Source organism: Homo sapiens, chromosome 2 (genome assembly GCF_000001405.40).
Source record: "Homo sapiens chromosome 2, GRCh38.p14 Primary Assembly".
Classification (NCBI taxonomy): domain Eukaryota; kingdom Metazoa; phylum Chordata; class Mammalia; order Primates; family Hominidae; genus Homo; species Homo sapiens.
In genome coordinates this window covers 6,105,940-6,127,595 of record NC_000002.12, presented here as the reverse complement: position 1 = coordinate 6,127,595, position 21,656 = coordinate 6,105,940, and the positions used below count along the sequence as shown (strand labels likewise).

The 21,656-nt window shown below is 36.1% G+C and overlaps 1 annotated feature.

The window, feature by feature from the left end:
• Window positions 13,376-13,877: an enhancer, noted in NCBI's record as "NANOG hESC enhancer chr2:6253851-6254352 (GRCh37/hg19 assembly coordinates)". NCBI's record gives its function as "activates a minimal SCP1, AML or CMV promoter by ChIP-STARR-seq in primed H9 embryonic stem cells {active_cell/tissue: H9 hESC(primed)}" and the evidence as "EXISTENCE:reporter gene assay evidence [ECO:0000049][PMID:30033119]".

The following is a 21,656-nucleotide window of genomic DNA, read 5'->3' as shown; positions in this document are numbered from 1 at the left end:
TTGTTGAGCTTGTGAAATTTGGGGATTACTGGCCATAGCAGCTAGACCATGTTGATTCACTAGACATACCTAAGTATAAAAAAACACAGAAAATATATGAGGATTTATGGCCAAGTAAAATATTAAAATTTCAATAAACTTAACTCATCCACAAAAGAAGCTCAAGGAAGAAACACAGAACTAATGCACACACAGGTATACTTTAATATGGTTTATTTTTAAATTTATTAATGTGTCTTTCTGAATTTTCAGAAGGATAATTATTCCAGCTATACATGTTCAGGCAATAATTGTGTATGCTTTAAAAATCTCATTTGATCTTAAATTTTACAGTTTCTCTCAATACTCTTTCATAAACTTGATAATGAAGATTTATAGTTATGCTTTTAGTCTGTTATACCTTTGCAAATAATTTTATTTCAAGGTAATACAAAGAAAATCTCCAATGGTGTTAATGTCATCTTTACTAGCCAACAGTAAGTATTCTGTAGTAAATGTCTGTGAAATTAAAGTGCTTTTCAAAATTCTATAAAATTAAATGAATACAATTTGTACATAGAACTTTATGTAAAAAGATACACCTTCAATTTACACAGAATAGTTAAAAGCTATGTTTTGAAGATTTCATTCCCAACATTTACCATCGTGACTTTGCAATGTTGGTAAAACTAGTTAATGGGTGAAATCAAAGTGCCTTTATTGGTCCAACCTCATTTCCTATCTCTCTTTCCAGATAATTGGCTTGCTAAGATCACACAGTCAGTCTTTACCGGGGCCAGGCCTGGAACGTGTGGTCTTACTGAATTCCTGACTTAGATGCTTGTTCTTCATCCTCCACACCTCTCTAAATGAGCTCAGGCTTTATAGTGCACAACACTTTGCACGTTGAAAAGCACTTATTTATTTACTGCTTATTCTATCATCTCAACAATTCCATAGCCTAAGTAGAATGCGCATTTGTGATGGTGAATTTGATGTGTTAACTTGTCTGGGCTAAGGGGTGCCCATGTAGCAGGTAAAACAGTATTTCTGGGTGTGTCTGTGAAGGTGCCTCCAGCAGAGATTAGTATTGTAATTAGTGAACTGAGTCAAGCAGGTGGCCCTCTCCAATGTGTGTGGGCATCATCTAATCCATTGAGGATCTGAGTAGAACAGAAAGGCAGAGAAAGAGTGACTTTGCTCCCTTTGCATAAGCTGAGCCATTCATCTACTCCTGGACTGGAATATCTGTACCCCTTATACTCAGGCCTTCAGACTCAAACTAAATTCACCATCCACTTCCTGGCTCTCCAGCAAGCTTGCAGACAGCAGATTATGGGACTTCTCCGCCTCCATGTGAGCCAATCCCTATGATAGATCTCATTTACATATAAAATCTCTTGTTGGTTCTGTTTCTCTAGAGAATCCTGACTGATATGGTATCATTACCCCAACTTCTACAGATAAAACTAAGACATCTCGCCACGTGACACACTTGTGACCCCTGCGGATGCTTCCTAATGACAGAGCTGGCCATGCAATGTCGAGCTACATGTGCTGACTCCCAGCAATTCCTCCTCTGTGCCTCACTGCCCCTCCCCTACATGCAGCCCTGTGTGCCTTCCAGCCCAAATTTCATCCATTGATTCTAAAATGACACATTAAACATCAACCAACAAGGGCAGTAATCCTCAGGGTAATGCTTTTAAGTAGGAGTGGGTCTTCTGAGACCAATTCTTTTAGTTAAACTTCTCAATTTCTCTAACCCCAAAATTTATAACATTGCTAAGACCCTTTCTGCAATGCAGGCTCTGGCTGTTTTGTTATATAAACTAGAAGCAGAGACTTTTCTTTGAATCAATTAATGATGATGAAGGATCTCCTGATATTGATTGAGCCTCTGAGATGGATGAGGGGGTATGAGTAAAAAATCCCTCATGCCTCCCATGATTGTTGGAAAATGTAGACATATCCTTCTCATGCTGCCCTCTTCACCCCCTCAGCTTATTAAAATTAATGACTAAGTGTGTGTGATGGTGGCTTGACCCACCTCTTTGTGAAGTGTACGCACCATGTTTTCTACTGTGCTTCTGATGGTAATTCTTCAGTTAAATAATTCATGGTAAATTACAGAAGTAATAGTATTATTGTTTCCTTTATTATGAAGGAAGAAGAGATTTACATAAAAATTATAAAAGGCCAAGGGAAAGGTTATCAGTTATTTTAACTGAAGAAAAATTATATGGTTCATTGAAAACACTGAAATAATAAAAAGTAGATTAATTATCAGCTACAACATTGATAAATATGCTAATATCAAATAAATACGTAAACCTATTGCAATCATGCAGACAAATTAGTTTCCAAAAGTCAAGATCCAAAGCAATTTATGTGCAATTTTATCAGTTGGAAGCTATAAAGAATAAATATTTTATTTTGGGGGTCATATGAATTGGGCAAAATCAGAAAAAAATGAGAAATATTGCATCACTATTAGGTGCATAAAGAAGAGAGATAGACTTTGCCTAAGATCTATGATCTAGGTAGATCATGCCAAAAGTAGTCACATTTCCTTGGCCCAGAGTTGAGGATCACATGTGATAATACATGAAAGTCCTGTGAATGTGAGAGTGAAAGGGGAACGCTATACAAATGGGAATTATTCACATTAATATCAAAACTTCAATTTAAGAATATATTTGTAAAATCTTGTGTTACTTGGGAATTTTCAGAATTTTATTTTATTTTACTTTTGTATATTTTTTATTTTTCAGACGAAGTTTTGCTCAGGCTGGAGTGCAATGGGCGATCTCGGCTCACTGCAACCTCCACCTCCTGGGTTCAAGTGATTCTCCTGCTTCAGCCTCCTGAGTAGCTGGGATTAAAGGCACCTGCCACCATGCTCAGCTAATTTTTGTATTTTTAGTAGAGATGAGGTTTCACTGTGTTGGCCAGGCTGGTCCTGAACTCCTGACCTTAGGTGATCCACCCACCTCAGCCTCCCAAAGTGCTGGAATTACAAAATAAGCCACCGCCCTCGGCCAAATTCCAGAATTTTATAACTAATCTTTGTAATCAAGTTACATAATTTTTCTATAAGCGGAGCGCAGAGGCTTTCTGTTTTCTCTACCATTCCAGGCCCAGGCTTACACTGGAGATGAAAAGTGAAACAGCTATTCTTTGTTTCCTTTTTATTGATTTGTTTATTCATTCATTTATTTTTAAGTTTTAATTATTATAGGCACATAATAGCTATATGTATTTATGTGGTATATGTAATGTTTTGATAGTCGTACAATGGGTAATGTAATCATCACAGGGTAATTGGTGTATCCAGCATTTGAAGCATTTAGCATTTGCTTGTGTTAGGAACATTCCGATTTTATTCTTAGTTATTTTAAAATATGCAATAAATATCTTGAATTAAAACGTATTTCTGTACCTTTTAAATCTAATTCTGCATTTTCTTGGCATTCTTGGTCTAAGTAGATGATAACCATTTACACACATTACCTGCTTCTGTGTGGTGCAGAAATCAGTGATTTTAATGGGAAGACAGAAAGAAAAGAAGAAAAAGACAGAAAGGAAGAAGGAAGGAAGGAGAAAGAAAGAAAGAAAGAAAGAAAGAAAGAAAGAAAGAGAAAGAAAGAAAGAAAGAAAGAAAGAAAGAAAGAAAAAGAAAGAAAGAAAGAAAAAGAAAGAAAGAAAGAAAAAGAAAGAAAGAAAGAAAGAAAGAAAGAAAGAAAGAAAGAAAGAAAGAGAAAGAAAGAAAGAAAGGAAAGAAGGAAGGAAGGAAGGGCAGAGGAGAGGAGAGAAGAGAAGAGAGAGAGAGGGAGGGAGGAAGGAAGGAAGGAAAGAAGGAAGGAAGGAAAGGAGGGAGGGAGAGAGAAGGGAAGGGGAAGAAAGGGAAGGGACAGGAAAGGAAATGAAAGGAAAGGAAAAGAAAAGAAAGAAAGGAGGGAGGGATAGATGGAGGGAAGGAAGGAAGAAAAGAGGGAACTAGGGAGAAAGGGAAAGGAAGAAAGATGAGGGCAAGGAAGGACTTTCTAAGAAACAAGCACGTTAATGCAATAAATTGATAACTCCTATTTAGTAGCAGGACAGATTGCCTTTGCCCATTACTGTCCTGTAACTTTTCAGAAGAAAAGATATTGTGAAGCAACCTTGTACAGTGGACAACAAGCCATCAGTTGAATGTTTGGAATGTCTTCCAGAAGTTGGAGTCTGGTCAAATCCTCCCTGACACGTCTGTTACTCTACGCTTGGTTCATTTTAATTCCCCTTGCCATCAATACACACGAGAATTTCTGTAAGCTACAGAAAGCCTCCAATGCTTCTCAGTAAGACACATCTGTTAAAGTTCTCAGGAAAGATGCTGACTGCTATTATGAATATTCCATGGGAAAAATGCTTTTATTAAAATATCACGTAGGTGAAGAGGGTACTTTAATCATCTACTAGGGTAACTTTGTATAAATTTCCTATCTTAATTCATTATATTCAGCAGTTCCCCTTTTTAAAAATTATTTTTAAATACATTTTGTTTTAGACCAGTTTTAGATTCACAGAAGAATTGCAATAAAAATGCAGAGTTTCCATATACCCTGTAACATTTCCCCTATACTCCACATCAATCATGCTACACTTGTTATATTTAATGAACCAAAACTGACACATATTTATTAACCAAAATCCATTCTTAATTGGTTTCCCTTAATTTTTGCCTAATATCCTTTTTCTGTCTCACTATCCTATACAGGATACCATATTACATTTAACCATCATGTCTCCTTAGGCACCTCTTTTCTGTCAGTTTCTCAGAATTTTCTTGTTTTTGATGACCCTAACAGTTTCGAGGAGGGTTAGATAGGCATTTTGAAGAATGTCCCTCGCTTGGGATTTGTCTAATATGTAAATATATTTATTTATTTATTTATTTATTTATTTATTTTTTCTTCTTATTTTTTTAAAATTATACTTTAAGTTCTAGGGTACATGTGCACAACGTGCAGGTTTGTTACATATGTATATATGTGCCATGTTGGTGTGCTGCACCCATTATCTCGTCGTTTACATTAGGTATATCTCCTAATGCTATCCCTCCCCCCTCCCCCTACCCTACGACAGGCCCCAGTGTGTGATGTTCCCCACCCTGTGTCCAAGTATTCTCATTGTTCAATTCCCACCTATGAGTGAGAACATGCGGTGTTTGGTTTTCTGTCCTTGCGATAGATTGCTCAGAATAATGGTTTCCAGCTTCATCCATGTCTCTACAAAAGACATGAACTCATCCTTTTTTATGGCTGCATAGTATTCCATGGTGTATATGTGCCACATTTTCTTAATCCAGTCTATCATTGTTGGTCATTTGGGTTGGTTCCAAGTCTTTGCTATTGTGAATAGTGCCGCAAGAAACATACGTGTGCATGTGTCTTTATAGCACCATGATTTATAATCCTTTGGGTATATACCCAGTAATGGGATGGCTGGGTCAAATGGTATTTCTATTTCTAGATCCTTGAGGAATCGCCACACTGTCTTCCACAATGGCTGAACTTATGTAAATATATTTTTAATGATTAGATTGTGATTTTTTTTTTTTGTACAGAAGACCATGGAGGTAAAGTGTCATCGTTATCACATCATATCAAGGGTACGTACCACTAACACTACTTTTCATCAATGATATTTGAGTTTGATCACTTGATTGAGGTGGTGTTTGTCAGGCTTCTCACCTGTAAAGTTGCCCCACCCTTTCCTTTAGAAAGAAATGACACACACTGAAGAAATATTCTAGAGGGATTGGTTCCAGGACCCCCTAGTATTTTTGTAAGATGTATTTCTGAACTGTTTTCCCTTCTTATACTATCTTTATTTAGTTTTGGTATTAGGGAAAGTTGGATTCATAAAATGAGTTAGAAAGTGCTCCATCTGCTTTCGTTTTTTGAAACACATTGTGAACAATTGGTATCATTCTTTTTAAAGTATTTGGTAGAATTCACCAGGAAAACCATCTGGGCTGAGTGCTTTCATCAGGGGAAAATTATTACTTATTAGTTCAATTGCTTTAATAGAGATATAGGTCTATTCAGATTATCTATTTCTCCTTGTATAAATGTTGACACTTGGTATCTGTCAAGGAATTACTCCATTTCTTCTAACTTATACAATTTGCTGATGTTTAGTTGTTCAAAGTATTTTTTATTATAATTTGACACCATATGTTCAGTAGTAATGACACCTCTTTCATTTGTGATATTGGTAATTAGTGTCTTCCATTTTCTTTTCTTGATTAGCCAAGTTATAGAACAACCAATTTCATTAATTTTTTTTCAGAGAGTAGGCTTTTGAGTTGTATTTATTTTCTTGTTCTTCTCATTTTATCAATGTCACAATTTCACCAAGTTCACTGTTGATTTATGCTCTAATTTTATTTCTTTTCTTTCGTTTACTTTAGGCTTAAATTTTTTTTTATCCTAGTTACCTAAGGTAGAAGGGTACTTTGATAATTTTACATTTTTCTTCTTTTCTAATATTTACATTTAAAAACATAAATACACTGGGTACTTTTGTGCATCGCACAAATTTTGATGTTTTATTTTTATTTTCTTTTTTTCAAAAAATTTAAACTTTGGTGTGTTATTTATAAATATGCTGTCTAATCTCCAATATTTTGGAATTTCCCAGCTACCTCTCTGTTTTGATTTCTAGTTTAATTTGGAGAAGATATTTATTCTGAGAACATACTTTGTATGACCCCAGTGCTTTTAGATATGTTAAAGTGTGCTTCATGATCTAGAATTTGGTATATTCTGGTGACTGCATTATGCAAGCTTAAGAAAAATGTGCGTTCTGTCGAATGAAGTATTTTATAAACATCAATTACATCAAGTTGATTGATAGTGCTATTTAGTTTAACTATATTCTTATTTAACAGGTCAACTACTGAAAGAAGCATTTTGAAATGTTAAACTGAAAGACTGGATTTGTCTATATTTTTCTTGTAGTTGTATTAGTTTTTACCTCATGTCGTTTGACTCTGTTGTTAGGTTTATACACATTAAGAAATGTAAGGTCTTCTTGGAGAATATATCTCTCAACATTTTTAAACTCTTTTTTATTCCTCATCATTTCTCATTCTGAATTCTGATTTATGTGTAATTAATGTAAGTACTCCAGCTTACTTTTGATTCATTTTAGCATGGTATACCTTTCTCCACTTTTTACTTTTATGATGAGTTTTTATATTAAAAATAGGTTTCTTGAAGACAACTATTGTTGGCTCCTGTTTCCATCTTTGATTATTCTGTCTTTTAATTGGTGAGTTTATACAATTTACATTTATAGAGATTATTGATATATTTAAATTAATAACTGTAATTTTATAACTGTTTTCTCTTTCTTATACTTTTTATCTTGTTTCCTCTTTTTTGACTTCTATGATTTTAGTAGAGCATTTATGATTCCATTTTTTCTTCTTTCTCAGCATAACAATTATTCTTTTCAAAAATGTTTTCAGTTATTGCCTTAGAGTTCACATATACATTTTCTACTAATCTAAGCCCATCTTTAAATAATGCTATACCACTTTATGTGATATGCAGATACCGTGTAACTGAGTAGTTCCAATATTTTCTTATGTCCTGATGACATTTGTATAATTCATTTCACTTATCTATATGCTATAATCATCCAATATGTGTTTAAATTTATCACTTTAAAAATCAGTTATACCTTTTTTATAATTATGGCTATTTTGTATTACTTCTGTCTTTTAACTTTTGGATGGGAATCAAAACTGATTTATATACCACCATGAGAGTATTATAGTATTTTTATTTGTTAATATATTTACCTTTACCAGTGAGTTTTATACTTTCATATGTTTTCATGGTGCTGTTTATTTTCCTTTTGTTTCAAGTTGAAGAACTGCCTTTAGATTTTTTTGTGAGGCACATCTAGTCGTGATGAACTCCTTCAAGTTTTGCTTGTCTGGTAATGTATTTACTTCCTTCATTTCTGAGCAAAAGCTCTGCTGGGTAAATTGTTCTCGGTTGACAGGGGTTTTTTTGTTTTAGTTTTTAATCTTTCAGCACTTTTAATGTAATACTCACTCCTGGCCTGCTAGATTTCTGCTTAGAAATCTGCTAATTATTTTATGAAGCTACCTTTGTGTGTAAGCTTGCTTTTCTCTTGCCACTTTCAAAATTCTCTTGCTTTTCTCTTGGCACTTTCAAATTCTCCATTATATGCATACAGATAATTATGTTTGTACATATGTATACGTACATACAAACATATGTATACATTATGTTTGTATGTACGTATACATATGTACAGTACACAATTACATGTATATAAATTATAATATGTATGTACATAATTATATATGTGTATAATATACAAACATAGTATAATATTTTTTGGCGAAGTCCTCTTTGTGTTGAACCTTTTGGGAATCTCTGAGCTTCATTTACCTGGATGTTCATATCTCTCACTGAGTTTGGAAAATTTTCTCTCTTCATTTCTTTAAAAAAGTTTTCTATCTCTTTCTCTCTTCTCCTTCTAGGATCCCATAATGCATATATTTGTTGTTTAATATTCTCTCATAAATTGCTCAGTTTTTTATTTTTAATATGTTCTACTTTTTTTCTCCTGTAACTGTAGAATTCCAAATGTCTTTACATTTGCTGATTCTTTCTTCTGCTTGATCAAGTCAGCTGTTGAAATCATGTAGTAATTTTTTCAGTTTAGTTATTGTATCCTTCAGCCCCAGAATTTCTGTTAGTATTTTTTTTTTTTTTTTTTTTTTTGAGACAGAGTCTCGCTCTGTCGCCCGGGCTGGAGTGCAGTGGCGCGATCTCGGCTCACTGCAAGCTCCGCCTCCCGGGTTCAAGCCATTCTCCTGCCTCAGTCCCCAAATGGCTGGGACTACAGGCACCCGCCACCATGCCTGGGTAATTTTTTGTATTTTTAGTAGAGACGGGGTTTCACTGTGTTAGCCAGGGTGGTCTTGATCTCCTGACCTCATGATCCACCCGCCTCGGCCTCCCAAAGTGTTGAGATTATAGGTGTGAGCCATCGTGCCCGGCCTAGTATTTTTTTATAGTTGCTATCTCTTTTGTTGATATTCTTATTTTGTTCATGCACTGTTTTTCTGATTTTAGTTAATTGTCTATATGTATTGCCTTGTAACTCAATAATTTTTAGCACACTTATTTTAAATTCATTGTCAAGTTATTCATAAATTTTTATTTCTGAGGTTGATTATGGTAGATGCATTTTTTCCTTTGATTGAGGCTTTAATCACACTTGTAGCTTTTATTTTCACATAGTTTTGATGTAAAGCTTGGTAAATTTTAATGTATTAATTTTTCTCAATTTTTAAAATATTTTTTCTTTATGTTTCTTATTTAAGAAAATTTTCCCTTCCCCAAAGTTACAAGTATTCTTATATTTGTTTCTAAAAGTTTAAATGTTGCTTTTTAATGTATTTGAAATGTATTTTTTATTATAACATGAAACAAAGCTTCAATGTTGTGTTAGTTCATTCTTACATTGCTATGAAGAACTACTTGAGTGATATGGTTAGGCTTTGTGACCCTACCCAAATCTCATCTTGAATTATACTCCTCGTAATCCCCATGTGTCAAGGGAGAGACCAGATGGAGGGAATTGAATTATGGGGGTGGTTCTCCCATGCTGGTCTCATGATAGTGAGTGAGCTCTCATGAGATCTGATGGTTTTATTAGGGTCTCTTCCCTCTTCACTTGGAACTTCTCCTTCCTGCCACCTAGTGAGGAAGGTGCCTTGCTTTCCCTTCACCTTCTTATATGATTGTAAGTTTTTTGAGGCCTCCCCAGCAATGCTGAACTGTGAGTCAATTAAAACTCTTTCCTTTATAATTAGCCAGTCTCGGGCAGTTCTTTATAGCAGTATAAAAATGAGCTAATACACTGAGAGTGGGTAATTTATAAAGAAAATAATTTTAATAGTAGTTTTAAATGACTCAGTTCCACAGACTGTACAGGAAGCATGTCTACGGACATGTCCAGGAAACTTACAATCATGGCAGGAGGTGAAGTGGAAACAACAACATCTTACATGGCCAGAGAAGGAGTAGGAGAGAGCAAAGGGGGAGGTTCTCCACACTTTGAAACAACTAGATCTCATGAAAACTCACTCACTATTATAATAACAGCAAAGTGGTAATTACCCCCCATGATTCAATCACCTCCCACCAGGCTCCTTGTCCAACATTGAGGATTAGAATTTGACATGAGATTTCATGGGGACAAAAATCTAAACCACATCACTCTGCCCCGACCCCTCCCAAATCTAATGTTCTTCTCACATTGAAAAATACCATAATCCCTTCTCAACAGTCCCCTAAGTCTTAGCTCATTTCAGCATTAACTCAAAAATCCAAGTCCAAAGTCTCATCTGAGACAAGGCAAGTCACTTCTGCCTATGAGTCTGTAAAATAGAAAACAAGTTAGATATTTCCAAGATGCAATCAAGGTACAAAAATTGGGTAAATATACCCATTCCAAAAGAGAATAATCAGCCAAAACAAAGGGGTTACAGGCCCCATGCAAGTGTGAAGCCCAGTAGGGCAGTCATTAAATCTTAAACCTCCAAAATAATCTCTTTTGATTTCATGTCTAACATCCAGGCCTTATCTTTCATCTTCTTTGGAGGCCTCCAAAATCTTCTGACATCTGAGCATTACCCAGTTCCAAGTCGCTTTCACAATTCCAGGAAGCAATTCTCAACTTCTGGTACTGATTTTCTGTATTAGTCTGTTCTCACGTTGCTATGAAGAACTATCTGAGACTGGGTAATTTATAAAGAAAAGGGTTATTGGCTCACAGTTTTGCAGGCTATACAAGAATCATGGCTGGGTGGCCTCTGGAAACTTTTATGTTGAAAGGCAAAGGGGAAGCAGGCACAACTGACATAGCCAGAGAAGGAGGAAGAGAGAGTGATGCAGGAGGTATTACATACTTTTTAACAATCAGATTTCAGGAGAACTCTCTCTCTATCATGAGAATAGAAAGGGGGAAAATAGGTTCACATAATCTAATCACCTCCCAACAGGCCCTTCCTCCAACAATGGGGATTACAATTCGACATGAGATTTGGGTGGGGACACAAATTCAAATCATGTGAAGTGTTATATTTTCTTTGGATAACCATTTGTCTTATAAATTACTGAGTCGATCATGCTTTCCCCACTAATTGGCAATATTAACTCAATCATATTGCACATTTTCATATACTTGAGTCCAGTTCATGATAATTCACACTGAGAAATAAATGGGATTTTTCTCACTTACTAGGACTTAATATTTAGAACAACTTGTTTTAAATTTTATTTTCATTTATAATCAGAAATATATATTATGTCAGAACAACAGTTTTCATCAATTTAATGTCTGATGAATTGAACACAACTATATTATCTAAAAAATATAATCTATTTTATCATGATGAACTTTCAATAGGGCAAATATTATAGACAGAAAAATTGATTTAAAACTCATTGAGGTGTCATTTTACTTTTGAAAGCTGAGAAGATCACTGCTAAATGTGGATTTATTTTTTATTTTATTTGTTGAAACTTTTTCCAAGTGAGTGATGTTCTCCACTAAGTAGACTGAGAACTAGTAATAATGACAACAATGACTGTAAGACAATATCTGACATTTCTTGTTATAGAGAAAAGAAGACGGAAGGGATGGAGGAAAAAATAAAGAGAAAAAATTGGAGGAAGAGACATAAGGAAGAACTGACTTAAATAAATTTATCTTTGTAACTTTTGTATTTGTAGCTTTTATAAGATTAAGTTATGTAGGGAAAAAAAAAAAAGATTTGACCTCTCTAAGTATCCTCAAGGGACAAATTTCCCAGTGGTAGCCCATTCCTGGGCAGTCAAGAAGAGTGAGAAGTCCGAGTATAGAAGCAACTCCTTGATGTCCTTCCACTTCATACAGCCCTCTACCATCATGGAGAAAGACATGTTGGAACAGATGTAACTTAGGTTGGAGGAAAAGCACATTCTCTGAACTTAGAAATATTTTCTACATTTTACTTCTTACCTTTTGCTGAAAAATAGTGTGTTATTTTGTTGCTGTTTTTATAGTTATGGTTGTATGTAACCCAACTAGTGAGAATGTCTCCCTGATAGATGCTTGTTACTTCACTTCAGCTAAATTTAAAATAAGCCTGTTTATTAAGGCAAAAAAAAAAAGAAATTGGCAACATTGATCACATAAGGTAAGTTCTTAAGACTTAGTAAATAGTTACTGGGACAACTGATTCAACAACATATATAACCAGGTTCGCTATTGAGTGATGATACTATGAAATGCAGTAATATGAAAAAAAAAGAAATGAATTAGAAGCCAGAGAGGTAACCAGATACAACAATGGTATCTGGTAAACCATAGCTGACAGGAGCATTTATACTGATTCATTTTTAAAAAAGGAATGAACTTACTAATACATTCATACAGAGTGATGAACAAGTAGAGTTTTAGAACTACTGAGATGGTACATGGATGGTATTTTGAGGGTAGTGACACAGCAAATATTTATGCCCCTGTATGCATACCAGCAAGAAATAAACACGAAATTCAAGGGGGTGTATAAGTAGGGGGCTAGAGAAGCTATCACATAAGGTTCATATAAGATTAAATTGTATAGCTGGGCTAATTGAAATTATTTGGAAAACACACAGAAAAACATTCTACAAACAAAAGACAAATCTTTAGAAAGAGGATGACTTTTTAGCCAAATAGCTAATCAGTCATTAAACTCCACCAACATATCGCGGTGATTACTGTATGCCCAGATGATTCATACTTATTATACTTGTCTCCAATATGGTAGTGCCTTGGAATGGGAGATAAAATAAAGAAAGAATAAAAATCTAATTTGTGGTAAAAGCAATTTTCCAAACAGCATTTCATGGTAGACTTGTTTGCAAGAGATGAGCATTGTTGTTAAACATAGTAATGCTGGCTTCCCTTACTCAACACTTACTATATTTGACAAGAGTTTGATCTTCTAGACATCTTCCCATGATGAGTAGATTTTAGGAGGTTGATGTTGCAGAAATCCAGACTGATCCATCTAAGCTCCTTTATGTTTCTGGCACAAATTCAATTCTGGGCTTCAGTTTTATTTTTGACACTAATCTTGGAGTTCGTAAAACATGATTTTATGAAATCCCTAAAATATATGTAAAATAATCATCTATAACCTATAAACATACTAAAAATGAGTATTTGCAGAAGCTCAGGTACATAAACAACTCTATGCTTTCTAAGGAAAGGAATAGACAGATACTATTATCCCTTTTCCTGATGTTGAGTTTAGTTTTAAATCTAGCTGGAAATTGGAAATATAGTCACACACACAAATGCTTATAATTAGAAAAAATAAACATCAAGTTTAATATTCTTAATTTAACATTAAAGGTGACGTGTAGCAGAAAAAGCAGAGTTGAGCTCAGAAACCTCTAGACTCAAACCTTGTTTTAATGCCTGTAAACTCTATGACTTAGTTGAGCTCAGAGTGTCGGATTCTCCCGTGAATAAATAGGCCTATTGTGAGGGTAAAACAAGACCATCAATGTGAAGTCTATTGAATAGTTCAGCATACATGAGTGACACTGCCCCACTGTTCTCATTCTTCCCTGGATTCTATATGGCCTCGTTAGTGTTTAACATCCCAACTCACAGCCCCATTTGCACCCAAATAAAGGACAGATACAGGAATTAGACAGTTGAAAGGATTTATTACCAATGAAGGCTAGGTGGCAAGATTTGGTTAACATATAACCATAAGGGCTTGCTGGCACTACCTGCCTGATGCCCCTCCCCTGAGTTAAATTCAGATCTTCAAATTGCCCAATAGGCAAACTCAGTGGGAAGGTTTAGATCTGCAGAGTAGACACCCATATGAAGGAAGAATGTCTCCCCCTATCTCAGAAGGAACTAGAGGAAGAGTCTAAGCTCTTCAATGCTTAAAGTTTTATAGAGTGATTCTCACCAATTAAGAAAAGAGGACCCAAACCTGTTATCAGCCAACCAATTAAGATTAACTCAGTTCTTCTTTGCAGGGAAGAATGAGTAAGGAGTGGAAAGAGGCTTAGAGGATCACTCTGATAGGTGGCCATCTGTCTAGGCAATGAATGAAACAAAAACTGAATCATTCTTTCCATTAAGCAGGCCCCAGTTTCTTCAATACATGCCGTTTATTCTCCTTCTTCTATTCTCTACTCATTTTTATACCAACCTGAATTCTCTCCTACTTCCTACTTTTCTATTCATTCTGCACTCTGTATCTAATTACAGCCCCCTCTCATTCATTCCCATGGTTCCGATTCAAATTGTATCTTTCTACCTATTTTTTGTTTGTTTATTAGTAAAAAGTATTTATAATCCTTATTACATCACAACTACTCATGCGTAACAACAGTGATCAAAAGAGCTTACATTTACTGATGATTCACCCTGCGCCAGGGACTATACTATACTTTACATGCACTAATTCATTTATTCTCCACAATGCCTTGTGATTTAGGGGTGTACTTTTGGGTTCATGTTGAGGTAATCAAGGCTTATAAATGTGAACTAAGCCCAGGGTCCTGAAGGTCTGACCCTGACTGGACAGTGCAAACTTGCAGTCAAAGGCTTGGAGGATTGCCTTCTGATCCACTCCCTCCTTGTGAGGATGGGGTACACTGTTGTTCAGATGAACATGTCAGGACTGCAGTTAAACAGCTTGTGTTAAGCAAGAACATGTGACAGAAGTAACACAACTGGCAAAACAGTCTATAAATTTTTAAAATTCATTTCACAAATAAGTTGCACCACTAGAACTGTGTCACATTTGCCACCAGAACTACGTAATGAGTGCCTTAAAGAACTTCCTCCCTCTCCACTGGTGGGTAATTAATTCTGTTAATTTCGTAGACCTAAATCACTGTCTCTGTTTTGTTTAGTATTGCTTGTTTTAAGAATTAGTCTTACATTCAGAATCATAATTAGTAAGTCAAGTGTTTATCAAAATATCAATATTGGTTACTCAAGGTTTTCTTAAATTATTTTATTTCTGCCAGGAATAATAAGCAAATTGAATCTGTCGTGATCATAATCTACCTGTATGGTGCCAAACCTGATCTAGTTACAGTCAAAGCAAGAAAAAAATAATGCAATAATTTGAATCACTGTTAAACAGTTCACACGTGTTTGTTGTCTATCCATTGCCCTAGAATTTTTGAGAATAAAGAGAGATAGAGAAAAGCAGTATATGCTAATCATGCTATGTGTCTTTCCACATACTTCATTGCCCAAGAGGGGAGACTAACTAAGGCATCTTTAATGACAGATTCTGGGCAGCTGCAAGATGTTTTTTCTATACACTAATTTATGCAGCTAAGAGATAAGTAAATTAATCTCCATTATCAATCTACCAGATAGCAAGAGTCAAACCCGAAACACCACTCCGTTGATGCAGGAAGGAAATCATCCTTATCACAGATTGCATGCTTTTTTGTTTTTTGTTTTTTAATGGATCCAGGTGCACCCATGACAGATTTTGGCAATGAGAATTATTTCCAACCCCAGAAAACCTGCCAGTTTCTGCTGCTTACTTCTGTTCATGCCTCTTGATGAGGGGCAATTGCTATGAGACAAATTACATTGTCTGTAATCTGGTCTCCTTCCCCATAGCCATGATTCATTCTGACAAGGAAAGTTTAAAAGCAACAAGTAAAATATGATAAACAATATCCATCATTGCATAGGAGAGCCTGGCTAAAAGCTTTCTGTCATTATCAATAATACTGTTTAGTTTTCAGCCTCCCCTTGTATTGCATTAGTGGCAAATGTGAATTTCTGTGAGCAGCAAAGGTCCAGTTTGGGCTACCTGTATGATTCTCGTTTCAAGTGAAACTGTGCCCAGTACCCTTCCAATGGTCCTTAATGCAGCCAACGAGACCCAATAAAGGTTAGATATGGCATAAAACTGATGGATGCAACCCAGAGTTCTCTCCTCAACTCTCACTTATTTCTGACTTGATTTACCTAATCAGCTCCTCGTTCTTGTTTCTGAGAAGCTGACCTGAGTTTTCCTTGCATACCCTTGTGTGTGTGGTATTTCCTGGATTTTTCTAACATTGGCTTTTACCTTCAAATAATGCTCTGTCCTGCTCTTTTAACTCTTGGGGTCCCAGATACCACAGAATGCAATGTTCCACCCAAACCTACAGAAACTCACCTCTGACCCCAGAAATGCAATAAGATTACATCAGTTATAGCCACCCTTTAAAAGAATTTTGCAGTGCATGAGGTTTACATGTGCAATACAGACCTTAAAAGTTCTTGGTTGAAGCATTCACAAAACTTGTATATATTAAGAAATATTATTGTCAACCCACTATGCTCTTGTCCATTTTTAATTTCTTCATTGAGCAGAATTTCACATCTCATCCCCAATGAACATTTCTATTTTTTATGGTTGAGTTTCGCTACATTTTTTTTTTCTACACACAAGTTACTTTTCTTGCAAAGTAATTACCACATCATTTACTTGGTTCTTAGAATTAAAAAGTGAGGAAGTCACATCCAGAGAACTCAGCCCTGGAGTCCAAACTGGAATCCATTCGGCAATAATTATCAGAGATCATGATCATCTCAATAGCAATTCTTCATAGTTGAAAGAGCAGATTAATAAAAAGAGAATATTAGGAGGACTTTTTTCATAGTTTCTTATTTTGTTTATGAGGCCATTGAGGCTTAAGAATGGTGAAAGACTTATCTAACCTCCCAATATCACACAGCATATAAGGGCCAAATCTAAGTATTGAATTACTAAGTTCTGATTCCAGTGTAGGTCTTCTTATGATGTCATAAAACAAATCAATATTTCAAAAAAATGGTTATTTTTAATACCTCACCCACTTCTTATAAAACAGACAATACCTGTCCTGCCCACTTCACTGATTCACTGTGAAACTATAAGATAAAATAATATATATGATAGTACTTTGTAAATGGTGTATCCTTATAGACATACATGATATTTTTATTATTAATGTGGTAGTTGTAGGAGTAGTCATAGTAGTAGCTGTTCTTGTTTTAGTAATATTAAAATCACCCCAGATTTTCAATATGACTTCATTATGTAAACCTTCATTGTTTATAAAATACTTCTATATTTTACCACTACAAAAAAATGGAAAAGTATGATCATTTTTATTTCATTAAAACCTGCTTGAAACCAATGTTTTTACATTAATCTATAGAAGCGCAATTTCTCTTCTTCCTGACAGAATCAATTGATAGATGCCCCAACTTTTCAATGCCTCCTGCATTTCTTGGTAATAGCTCCCTGGTCTCTCTCTACCATTTAGTTTTTGCTAACTAGCAAACCACCCCAAAACTCAGTGACTAAAACAGCAGAGAAGTGTTATTTACCACACTTCCATGGTCAGTTGGGAAGTCATTCTTATCTTTATCTCTGCAAGCAGCTGAAGATTGGGCTGGACTGAGTGGTTCAGCCTGGCCCTGCTCACATGGTTGGGGTTTGTAGGCTGCTTGGTCTGGACAATATCAACAGGAACAACCCAGTCGCCATGGCCTCTCATCTTCATCTTCATGAACTAGCCTGAGCTTCCTTCCAAGTTGCTCTCAGGGATTCAAATGCAGCAAAAGGAGGCAGGACCCAATAGCAGATACTTTTCAAGTGTCTATATCACTTTTAAGTGCTCTATTGGCCAAAGTGAATCATAGATCAAGCCCAGATTCAAGGGTGAAGGCATTCGTGTTGTCATGTTTGCAAACAGTCTACCACATTTGTTCATGTCTCTGATACCCAGAGGACTGCTTGAAAGCAGCTGTTGAGTATTTTTCTCGTGATCATTCCTATACAGGGCAATGTGGGGCATGCAAGGAAACATCACATCTGGAGCCTGATCTTGTAAAGACAAAGTATGCATAAAACAATTAGAGATTGAAGCAAAAGAAAATGGAATAAAATGATGGCTACTCTGGAACAGGTCAATATTCAATAAAAGAATCCAGAAAGTTAAACTCAATGGGGGAACACAGGGATGACTTTTTGTTAAATATTTATGTTTTATTAGACTTTCCCTACGTTTTTGTATGGCTTTAGCCTGACTGGTTTATTTGTGAAAGAAAACGGTGTGTGTCTGCATGTGCATGGATATCTGTGTGTGTATAGATGTTTCCTTCAGACACTGTCACTCTCCTCTTCAAAATGTCTACACTGCACTTAGTGTCAAGCCACTTCCATGTGCATAATCTCCCTTGATCCTTACAGTAGGCATGAGGAAAGCATAGTTTCCATTATGCAATGGAGAAATGGGCAGAGAGGAGACCCAGGGAGCCAGCTGGGAGGCTTGCTAAAGAGTCTGAAAGGAAGGGGAATTTCACTCTTGTGAGGTAAGGACTGCAGGCATAATTTCAGGAGAGGAAGTCAACATAAAGTAAAGATCACGGTGATTAGTAGTGCATTTACTCAGCAAATAGGTATTGAGTGTCTACTGCCATCTCTAACAACATAGAACTTACATTCTAGGTAGAAAGGAGACAATAAGAAACTAAAAAAAAAAAGATATTTCTGGAAAAGAATAAGTACTATCAAGAAAAATCATGATGATATGATTAGATAAAGAATTACAAAGCAAAGGTGTATGTCCCAAAGTAGATGGCGGGTACAGTGATTTGCAAACACAACACATTCAAAAAAGCCAGCTTTGCAGCTACTCACTGTGTGACTTGAGTAAATATACTTAACTTTGACTTTGTTTCCTCATCTATAAAACAGAGGAATTTGTAACCAACCTAGTTTCTTCCCAGAACTTTTTAGGGATCAAAGAGATAATGCATTTAAATGCAATTCACAGGGGTTATGTCAGAACCTAGTATCATTACTATTGGTGGTATCAGTGTGTGTGTGTGTGTGTGTGTGTGTGTGTGTGTGTGTGTGTGTGTGTGTGTTGTTCTTTTTTGTAGCAATCACAGTGGAAGCAAAGTTAACAAAGGTCCAACTAAAAATAAGTTAAGACCAAAACTCTGGAGGGAAAGCAATCTGGCAAAGTGTAGCTCTCAACAACAGTTAAGCTGAATTCAGGGCATTGAGAATATGGAGCAAGATTATTCACAGTTGACTTAAGTTAAAAAATAGGTGGCATCCTTCTCCAACCCTGCCTGGCCTTCCAGCCTTTCTGAAAACCTGGGAGTTTGTGTTCCACAGAATGATACATGTTTTTGCCATTTATGCCATGATTCATTTTTTTGGTCTCTGGTGTCCTAATACTGCCGGTCAGAAGGATTAGAACTTCAGGTTAATTTGGTGTCAACGTGTCCTGCATAGATATTGTTACATACATAACAGCCAAAAATAGCCTTTGAAGGGATGAGGTACAAAAAATATCTAAGATAGGAGATTATATCTTTCTTTTACTCTTGGTATCCCATTGATGTGGAAGCCGCAGGAATTTCTCCTGACTTGACAGAAAAGTAGGTTAGCCACTGACTCTTTTACCTGTAAGTCTTAGACTTCGGTGAATTTCTTTTTTTAAAAAATGGCAATGTGAACTGTGCTCAGTGTTCATAACAGCAAACATTTACTGTGCATGTAACCTATTATGTGTCATGCACACCTTTTTTTAAAAATAATTGTTATTGTGTATATTGAAGGAATGCAATGTGATGTTATAAGATAGATATGTACAGTAAAATTGTCACTATAAAGGATCAAATAACATAACTAAGGTCTCACCTAGTTATCTATGTTCCCCTCTGTGGCAAGAGCAGCTATAATCTTTAACCTTTCTGAGACTGACCATTCCCAGAAGGAAAGCATGGAGGGAAACACTAGCACTCTCCAATTGAATGGAATATATGAAATAGCCCATGAACAGTGCCGGCACCAGGTAAGCACAGTGGGGTTTGTCATTATGGTTTTGGTCATCGTTTTTGAGGCAGTCACCAGTGTTTCACACTCTCTGGAGGATCATGAGAGAGGCTCTTGCACTACTGAAGGTAGCACAGCCCCTTTCCAGCACCACACTTCCTGCCTCATGGGATTGGCCATATTTGGGAGTAATACTATACTAATGCCTCAAATGCTTCTTACCTGTTCCTGGGTACTCGCTCCCCTGCCCACAGAGTGTCTCATTCCATGTTAACTTTCAGGCATAGGAATCGAGCCACATGTTTCTGATACTGATAATAGTATAAGTGCCAAAAGAGTATCAGAGAAGTCAAATGCTGGGACTTATGTTTACATAACTTTAGGCCATTACGATGATCCCAAGAAAATTTCAATTACACAAAGTTTATGTTCTAGAGGCCTTGCGGCTATTAGAATACAGTTTATACCTAAAGCAAATATAAAACACAGAACTCAGTGACTTGTTAACATGTATGCTCTGAACTAAATCATTCCTTCACAAAGCACTTGTGCAATGAAGCAAAAGCCCCTTAAAGACATAGGATCAGGGAGATGGAATCATCTCTCAGCCGTCTGGGGCACTGGCATCCCACTGCTAGGATGGTTGGGACTGTAATTCTTAGACCACCTACTGCTAGCTTATTACACTCTATTTTAAGTTTGGTTATTATTTTACTGTAACTCAGTTTCTTTCAACCCAACATGTGGACGAGTTGCATGATCACTGTCAATGATATCAAGACCTACTAGATTTGACAAGAAGCAGAGAGAATGGCCTAAACCCAGTAGTTTTACAGTGCTGTGAACTACAAGAGGGCTCTTAGCACTCTGCGGTTGAAATGCGGGACGTGTGTGTGAAACACACAATAAGTGTGTTTAGTTATCGTCAGTGAGTCAGGAAAGGGCCCTTTGAGGAGACGACACTGAGTCAGGCATTGGAAGAGGCATGTAACATTTGCAGATTTCAGGAAAGCAGAAAAGACAGGCAATTTTCACAGTGGGAACAGCAAAACACAGAACCATGGGTGTGGAAGTTTACACTTATTTAGGAGAGAATAGTTTTCTGTGCCTGCAGCAGGCGTTTTTTGGAAGCTGGTAAGGGAAGGAGCTGTAAGATACAGGAAGGGAAGGTAGAACCTGTGCTGTAGATCAGAGTGAAAGACCTCAAGGCACGGTCAGGTTTGAATTCTAGCATGTAAGTGACAGCGAATGGGATGTTAGAGGATTCTTCACAATATCCACTTCATTCTGACGTAAATTCTTATGAGAAAGGGTTGCTCTGATTTGTAGAATCTGCTCACGTATGCTGATCTAGATTGATCTACACGTTTCTGGGAATGTATTGAACAGCGTCCAGATAGTGGGTCTAATTAGGGCTGAGATCCATTGGTGAAAAAAATCCCTCAATAAATTATCATCCTTTCTAATACCATCTTGAGTTTATATAGCATTTGTTTCTCCCAAGTTGTTCAGAACACTTCACATATACCATTGCATTTTTCCTAATGTTTCCAAGACATAATTAGGTGCATGTATCACTGCGCTTATTTTATAAATATTGACATCTGACATATTGATTACAGAATCTGCTTCAGATAACATGGCACCACAACTGTTATCAAATGACACATTATTATCAGTCATTTTGCATACAAGCAACCATGTAAATAGAAACATTATAAGC